The sequence below is a fragment of the Homo sapiens genome, chromosome 7, assembly GCF_000001405.40.
Source record: "Homo sapiens chromosome 7, GRCh38.p14 Primary Assembly".
NCBI lineage: Eukaryota > Metazoa > Chordata > Mammalia > Primates > Hominidae > Homo > Homo sapiens.
The window spans coordinates 105,440,113-105,449,298 of record NC_000007.14 but is presented as its reverse complement, the minus strand read 5'-3'; the positions used below and the strand labels follow the sequence as shown (position 1 = coordinate 105,449,298).

Genomic DNA, 9,186 nt, shown 5'->3' with positions numbered 1-9,186 from the left:
TTTTGTTTTGTTTTTTGAGACAAAGTCTTGCTCTGTCACCAGGCTGGAGTACAGTGGCGTGATTTTGGCTCACTGCAACCTCCCCCTCCCGGGTTCAAGCGATTCTCCTGCCTCAGCCTCCCGAGTAGCTGAGACCACAGGCACATGCCACCACGCCCACCTAATTTTTGTATTTTTAGTAGAGACGGGATTTCACCATGTTGGCCAGGATGGTCTCGATCTCTTGACCTCGTGATCTGCCTGCCTCGGCCTCCCAAAGTGCTGGGATTACAAGCGTGAGCCACTGCGCCCAGCTGAGGGTTGGGTTTTAAAGGCTGTAGGAGTTATTCTTTATTGAAATTTTGTTTCTAAACTAAGTTCCTATGGTGTCCATAATAACTAGATTGCTGCAGTGTCCACAGTAACCATCTGAAAATGGATTTTCATGACTGGGAGGGCTCAGGGTTAAGCGCAAGAATTCACAACCATAACTTTACAGGATGAAAATAGTCAGGCACTGCCAGGAGCGGTGGCTCACACTTGTAATCCCAGCACTTTGGGAGGCCTAGGCAGACGGATCACTTGAGATCAGGAGTTGAAGACCAGTCTGGCCAACATGGTGAAACCCTGTCTCTACTAAAAATACAAAAATTAGCCGGGCGTGGTGGTGGGCGCCTGTAATCCCAGCTACTTGCTGGGCTGAGGCACGAGAATTTCTTGAATCCGGGAGGCAGAGGTTGCAGTAAGCCAAGATCTCGCCACTGCACTCCAGCCTAGGCGACAGAGTGAGACTCCGTCTCAAAACAAACAAACAACAACAACAACAACAAAAAAAACCACTTAGGCGCACTTGGGAACGCTTTTGTTTCAGCTCAGTTCAACTCCACCTGCACCCTCTGAGAGCTGCAAATGGGGAACATAACTCTCCTTAGCCCAGCACCCACGTCTGTTCTCTACTAGCCACATTCATCCTGTTTTCTACATTTCTCTCTTCCTGTTTACAAAATTAATTTTCAACATAGAAGATCTTACTACCTGTTTTGGCCTAGACAAATGTTTCACTACCAAAAAACTTGCTCGTCAAGCTGACACAGAGTCATTCCACTTAACGAGTTAGCCACCTTCCATTAGCTGGAAAGATGATAGAGTCTTAGTTGATCCTTTTTTCTAATAATAATATCTGTCTAATAAAGTGGAGCTAAAGTCTGTTTCTTTCCTGTGCCATCCTGGTTTCTTAGGACCCCTGCACATTAATTAGGAGGAAGTCATGATGTGGATAACTCCAAAAGGTGAAAATCCAAAAGTAAATAAAGCACTGGAGGCTGCTGTGATAAAGAGGAAAGGACGTCAAACCAGGAGTCAAAATGCACAGGCTGAAGTCCTGGCCCTGCCACTGACTGTTGCTCAGAGACCTTCAGAGATCCACATCCCTCCTCCGGACCTCAGCTTTCTCCAGAGAATCCCTCAATGCTAACTGTTGCAGAGTACTCCATGGAGTGCACCCATCACACGTGGACTACACGGAGCTCCAGGGATGGACATCAGATTTGCCTCTAACTCCTCATCACCCTAAACAACATTGTCATCAACTCCATTGCACATGTCTCCTTGTGGACCCATCACAGCACCATCAGTTCCCACTGTTGCAGGCTAAGGAAGAAGCCTGTACACAGTCCCATCTGGGTGGGATTGGCTGTCCACAGAGGTAGGAAGACGAAGTGATGCCAAGTAGGATCATCTTCCCTCCAGAACTTGGGCCCAGTCTTCCAGGAGTTGTCATCTGTGCTTGGAGCAATAACTCATTTTCTCTCCTCTCTTACCATGTGAATTTTTCACTACTTTAAAAAATTGCTGGCTGGGCATGGTGGCTCACGCCTGTAATCCCAGCACTTTGGGAGGCCGAGGCGGGTGGATCACGAGGTCAGGAGATCAAGACCATCCTGGCTAACATGGTGAAACCTCGTCTCTACTAAAAATACAAAAAATTAGCCAGGCGTGGTGGCAGGTGCCTGTGGTCCCAGCTACTTGGGAGGCTGAGGCAGGAGAATGGCGGGAACCTGGGAGGCAGAGCTTGCAGTGAGCTGACATAGCGCCACTGCACTCCAGACTGGGCAACAGAGCGAGACTCAGTCTCAAAAAAAAAAAAAAAAAAAATTGCTGGCCAGGCACGGTGGCTCACGCCTGTAATCCCACCACTTTGGGAGGCCAAAGCAGGTGGATCACCTGAGGTCAGGAATTTGAGACCAGCCTGGCCAACATGGTGAAACCCCGTCTCTACCAAAAATACAAAAATTAGCCAGGCATGGTGGCGGGTGCCTGTAGTCCCAGCTACTTAAGAGGCTGAGGCAGGAGAATTGCTTGAACCTGGGAGGCGGAGGTTGCAATGAGCCGAGATTGTGCCACTACACTCCAGCCTGGGCAACAGAGCGAGACTCCATCTCAGAAAAAAAAAAAAAAAATTGCAATATACATTCATAACCAAGTCCACTTTCAAATAACACCATACTGCTTCATGAGTAGTACAGGTCCTTCATGGATAGTACAGATACTTTATAACAGTATTTGCTGGCCAGGCACGGTGGCCCATGCTTATAATCCCAGCACTTTGGGACGTCAAGGTGAGCAGATCATGTGAGGTCAGGAGTTCAAGACCAGCCTGGCTGACATAGTGAAACCTCGTCTCTACTAAAATACAAAAATTAGCCAGGCACGGTGCCAGGCACCTGTAATCCCTGCTACTCGGGAGGCATCCCAAGTTGGGATTGCACCGTTGTACTCCAGCCTGGATGACAGAGTGAGACTCTGTCTAAAAAACAAAAAACAAAAACAAACAAACAAAAAAACAGTATTTGCAACTCCTTTCTACTGCTTTCTAAAGCAAAGAAACGGCTTTCATTGATTTCACATTTCCATGCTATAATCATGCAATTCCTTCTTGCTATTATTATTTTGAATGGTCATATATTAGATCAGTTAATAAGAAAAGTAAAAGGTTATTTTTATTCCTTCTCTGATTCTCTTCCTTTCTTGATATGCATGAGAGTTTCTGACCTATATCATTTTCCTTTTCACTGAGGAACTTCTTTTAACAGTTTTTGCAAGGCAGGTCTGCTGGCAATAAATTCCCTCAGTTTTTGTTTTTTGAAAAAGTCTCTTTCTCCTTCACTTTTGCAAGATAATTTCACTGGATGTAGATAATTCTAAGTTGGTGGGTTTTTTCTGTCAACACTTTAAATATTTCATTCCACTCTCTATATATTTTCATGGTTTCTGATGAGAAGACCAATGTAATTCTTATGCTTGTTGCTCTATGGGTAAGGTGTTTTTTCCTGGCTTCTTTCAAGATTTTATCTTTGGGCCGGGCGCGGTGGCTCACGCCTGTAATCCCAGCACTTTGGGAGGCTGAGGCGGGCGGATCACAAGGTCACGAGATCGAGACCATCCTGGCTAACACGGTGAAACCCCGTCTCTACTAAAAATGCAAAAAAAGTAGCCGGGCGTGGTAGCGGGCGCCTGTAGTCCCAGCTACTCGGGAGGCTGAGGGAGGAGAATGGCGTGAACCCAGGAGGCGGAGCTTGCAGTGAGCCGAGATCGTGCCACTGCACTCCAGCCTGGGCGACAGAGGGAGACTCCGTCTCAAAAAAAAAAAAGATTTTTATCTTTAATTTTCTGCAATTTGAATATGATATGCTAAAATATAGTTTTATAATATTTATCCTGCTTAGTACTCTCTGAGGATTCTGGATACAATGGTTTGAATGGGTCCCCCAAAATTCATGTATTGGAAACTTGATCCCCAATGTGGCAGTGTTGGGAGGTGGGACTTTAACTTTTAAGAGGTGGTTAGGTCACGAGGGCAGGGCCATTATCTGGGGAATGGGTTTGTTATCACCAGAGTGAATTCCTTATAAAAAGAGGAGTCTGGGTTTCTCTTGCATTCTCTCTGTCTCTCATCCTCTCTTGTCCTCCCACCTTCTGCCATGGGATAACATAACAAGAAGGCCCTTGCCAGTTGCCAGCTCTTTGATCTTGAACGTCCCAGCCTCTAAAACTGTGAGAAATAAATGTATATCCAGTATAAATTAAACAATCTCAGATATTCTTTTATAGCTGCACAAAAATGACTAAGACACTGGATGTGATTTGATGTCTGTCATTAATTTTGGGAAAATTTGTAGTCATTATTCAAATATTTCTTCTGTTCTCTATTCTTCTGGTTTTCCAAAACATGTATGTTATACTTTTTCATATTGTCCCACAGTTCTTGGACATTCCATTCAGGTTTTCTTGTTTTATTTTTTCATTATTTTTTCTCTTTGTATTTCAATGTGGAAGTTTCAGTTAACATATCTGCAGGCTCACTGATTTTGTCCAGTCCACTGACATTCCTCATTTCTGTTACGGTGTTATTTTTTAAATTTCTAGCACTTCCCTTTATTGCTTCTTAGAGTTTCCATCTCTCTGCATACATTATGCATCTGTTCTTGCATGTAATCTACTTTTTCCATGAGAGCCCTTAACATATTAATCATAGTTATTCTCAGTTCCAAAATCTGTGACACCTAGCTGAGTCTGGTCTGATGCTTGCTTTGTTTTTTCTCTTGCCTTAAAACATAGTATGCCATGTGATTTTTGTGTAGAAATAGGTGCATTATTTATCAGGTAAGAGGAACTGAGATAAGTAAGCAGAGGTTTTGTGTTAATCTGGCTAGGAGTTGGACTGCGTTTAAATTTGTTGCTATAGGTGTTGGAGGCTATAGGTGTTGCTATAGGTGTTGCTATAGGTGTTGCTATAGGTGTTGCTATAGGTGTTGCTATAGGTGTTGCTATAGCTGTTAATTTATTCTAGTGTCCTAGTTTTTGTCTCCCATGTTGTCTTTGTGTTTCTCTAAAAACTCCTTAAATGGAATCGTTACCTTGCAACTCCTTCAGCTGTAATCCATTGTTATTATACGGCAATCACAGCTCCTTCAGCTGTCATTCATCGTTATTATACTGGAGCCATGTTGATGTGGTGGTAAGGTACACAAGGGAAATACAAATCATTCTATAATTCTATTATTAAAGCTCAGGCATGGCCGGGTGCGGTGGCTCACGCCTGTAATTCCAGCACTTTGGGAGGCTGAAGCGGGCAGATCACGAGGTCAAGAGATCGAGACCATCCTGGCCAACATGGTGAAACCCCGTCTCTACTAAAAATACAAAAATTAGCCGGACATGGTGGCAGGCGCCTATAGTCCCAGCTACTAGCGGGGCTGAGGCAGGAGAATCGCTTGAACCCGGGAGGCAGAGGTTGCAGTGAGCCAAGATCACGCCACTGCACTCCAGCCTGGCAACAGAGTGAGACTCTGTCTCAAAAATAATAATGATAATAATAATCATAATAATTAAAAAAATAAATAAAGCTCAGGCTTGTATCTCTGGACTGTGACTTTTTTCATCCTTAGGTGAGACAGAAAGGCTAGTGGGGCTGAATTTGGGTAACTTCCCCAGGTCAGATAAGGCTCTGATAACGTTTTTGCCCTGCTGACTAGGCCTTTGTTATAGAGAATACTGTGACATATTTTCGAATGGTTAATTTTCCTCTTACACTACCAGAAACAAGTGTTCCTTCCTGATTCTTTATAGTAAGAATCTGGTTGGGTTCCTAGAAGTAAAACCCACTAAGACTCCAACCCCCAGGAGTTTCTCACTCTTTTTTTTTTTTTTTTTTTTTGAGATGGAGTCTCACTCTGTTGCCCAGGCTGGAGTACAGTGGCATGATCTCGACTCAGTGCAACCTCTGCCTCCTAGTTTCAAGCGATTCTCCTGCCTCAGCCTCCAGAGTAGCTGGGATTACAGGCGCCCACCACCACGCCTGGCTAATTTTTAAAAATTTTTTTAGTAGAGATGGGGTTTCACCATGTTGGCCAGGCTGGTCTCGAACTCCTGACCTCAAGTGATCTGCCACCTCAGCCTCCGAAAGTGCTGGGATTACAGGCGTGAGCCACCGCAGGAGTTTCTCACTCTTATGCTGGTCCACACCCAGCCTTTAGCCATTCATCAGTTACCATGTAAGTATTCCTGCCAGTGTATGACTGCTCCAGGTAAACTGACCTCATCTGTGATTCTCCTTATTCTCCTGTCTCTCTGGATTTTGAGGTGATGCTTTGCCCTGCAACCTCAACTCTCTCATGGGTCCAAGAAAAATTATTAAAGTCATTGATTTTCAGTTTTTCAGCTTTCTTACTGAAAGGACGTGAGTGACAAATTCTAAGCTCTTTGCATGTCAGAAATGAAACTGGAATGTATTTTTTTCAAATATATATGTAATTATATATAATTAGTCTCTTCTAATTGGAATAAATGTCATAATGCTAATGCTTTTCGGTCACCATTATAGTAATCCTAAACCTAAAATACCTTGTCAAGAGTTTGATGTGATTTCTAATTTTTTCTCTATGTTTATGTGTTTCTGTATCTATATATATTAATATATATACATACACATATATAGATATGTGTATATATATCTATAGAGCTATGTGTGCACATATATACATATCTGTATGTGTGTGTGTATAAATCCACGTATACATTTTTTACATGGGTGTGATGTGTGTATAATGCTATGCTGTAACTTCTTTTTCCATTTAATATTCTCTATACTGTCTTTTCCTTTAAAAGCTAAATTTAGGGTGGGTGCAGTGGCTCATGCCCATAATCCCAGCACTTTGGGAGGCCAAGGCAGGTGGATCACTGGGGCCAGAAGTTTGAGACCAACCTGGCCAACATTGTGAAACCCCGTCTGTACTAGAAATTCAAAAAAAAATTAGCCAGGTGCAGTGGTGCGTGCCTGTAATCCCAGCTACTCATGAGGCTGAGGCAGGAGACTCACTTGAACCCAGGAAATGGAGGTTGCGGTGAGCCGAGATTGCGCCACTGCACTCCAGCCTGCGCTACAGAGCAAGACTTCCTCCAAAAAAAGATTTAAAAAAAAAAAAAAAGTAAGAAAATTAGCACGGTATGGTGCGCACCTGTTATCCCAGCTACTCAGGAGGCTGAGGCAGAAGAATTGGTGGAAGTTGCAGTGAGCCGAGATCACACCACTGCACTCCAGCCTGGGTGACAAAGCGAGACTCCGTCTCGAAAAAAATAAAAATAAAAATAAAAATAAAATAAAATAAAATAAAGGCTGGGCATGGTGGCTCACACCTATAACTCCAGCACTTTGGCTTTGGGAGGCTGAGACGGCCAGATTGCCTGAGTTCAGGAGATCGTGACCAGCCTGGGCAACACGGTGAAAGCCCTGTCTCTACCAAAATACAAAAAAATTAGCTGAGTGTGGTGGTGGGCGCCTGTAGTCCCAGCTAGTCGGGAGGCTGAGGCAGGAGAATTGCTTGAACCCTGAGAGGTGAAGGTTGCAGTGAGCCGAGATTGCACCACTGCACTCCAGCCTGGGTGACAGAGAGAGACTCCGTCTCCAAAAAAAATTAATTAATTAAATAAAATCTAGATTTATTTCAAATGAAGTTTACATTCAAGTGACAAAACTATTTTTCCTCAGTAATCTTGAAATTTCATCTATTCGTAATTACTAATTTTCTTCAATAAATATTGATGTCTCTTTGAATCTATAAATAAAATTTTGTATGGCCGGGCGTGGTGGCTCATGCCTGTAATCCCAGCACTTTGGAAGGCCGAGGCAGGAGGATCACTTGAAGTCAGGAGTTTGAGACCAGCCTGGCCAACATGGTGAAACTCCGTCTTCACTAAAAATACAAAAATTAGCTGGGCACGGTGGCACACGCCTGTAATCCCAGCTACTTGGGAGGCTGAGGCAGGAGAATCACTGGAACCTGGGAGGCGGAGGCTGCAGTGAGCCATGGTTGCCACCACTGCACTCCAGCCTGGGTGACAGAGCGAGACTCTGTCTCAAAAGAAAAAAAAAAATCTGTGATTCTAGGACAGGCATGGTGGTGTACACCTGTGATCTTAGCACTTTGAGAGGCCGAGGTGGGAGGATCACGTAAGGCCAGGAGTTCAAGACCTGCCTGGGCAACATGGCAAGACCCTGTCTCTAATAAATAAACAAATAAATACAAAAAAACATAAATAAGCCAGTCAGCCAGGCATGGTGGCACATGCCTGTAGTCTCACCTACTCAGGAGGCTGAGTCTGGAGGATCACTTGAGCCCAGGAGTGTAAGGCTGCAGTAAGCTATGATTGTGCCACTGCATTCCAGCCTTGGCAACAGAGTGAGACCCTGTCCTTGAAAAAAAGAGAAAATTTGTGATTCTATTTAAAACACAGGCAAATAAATCTTTAACTCATTTCCCATTAATTGCCTGAGCAAGTATTCAATTAACTTATGTCATTATTTTTCTAATTCCTCTATAAAATATTAACATATAATAAAAAAAATCTTTTGAAGGTTCAAGAGATGTTTTTGTTTTTGTTTTTGTTTTTGAGACAGAGTCTCTCTCAGTCTCCCAGGTTGGAGTGCAGTGGCATGATCTTGGCTCACTGCAACCTCCGCCTCCCGTATTTAAGTGATTCTCATGCCTCAGCCTCTCGAGTAGCTGGGAGTACAGGCCCCCACCACCATGCTAAAAATTAGCCATGCCCAGCTAATTTTTGTATTTTTAGCAGTGACAGGGTTTCAACATGTTGGCCAGACTGGTCTCGAACTCCTGATCTCTGGTGATCTGCCGCCTCAGGCTCCTAAAGTGCTGGGATTACAGGTGTGAGCCACTGCACCTAGCCAACAGATGTTTTAAAATACATTTTCTGGGGGCCGGGCGCGGTGGCTCATGCCTGTAATCCCAGCACTTTGGGAGACCAAGGCTGGCGGATCACCTGAGGTCAGGAGTTCGAGACCAGCCTGACCAACATGGAGAAACCCTGTCTCTGCTAAAAATGCAAAATTAGCCAGGCGTGGTGGTGCATGCCTGTAAACCCAGCTACTTGGGAGGCTGAGGCAGGAGAATCACTGGAACCCGGGAGGCGGAGGTTGCAGTGAACCGAGATCGCACCATTGCACTCTAGCCTGGGCAACAAGAGCGAAACTCCGTCTCAAAAAAAAAAAATTCATTTTTTTGGTAGCTACACTTTCAGACATATTTCTGATTCAAGATGGCAGACTAGGCCACGCGCGGTGGCTCACACCTGCAATCTCAGCACTTTGGGAGGCCAAGGCAGGTAGATCACCAGAGGTCAGGACTTCAA

The 9,186-nt window shown here is 44.3% G+C and overlaps 1 annotated feature.

The window, feature by feature from the left end:
* Positions 1,011-1,130: an enhancer, noted in NCBI's record as "active region_26462". NCBI's record gives its function as "activates an Ori minimal core promoter by ATAC-STARR-seq in GM12878 lymphoblastoid cells {active_cell/tissue: GM12878}" and the evidence as "EXISTENCE:reporter gene assay evidence [ECO:0000049][PMID:35858748]".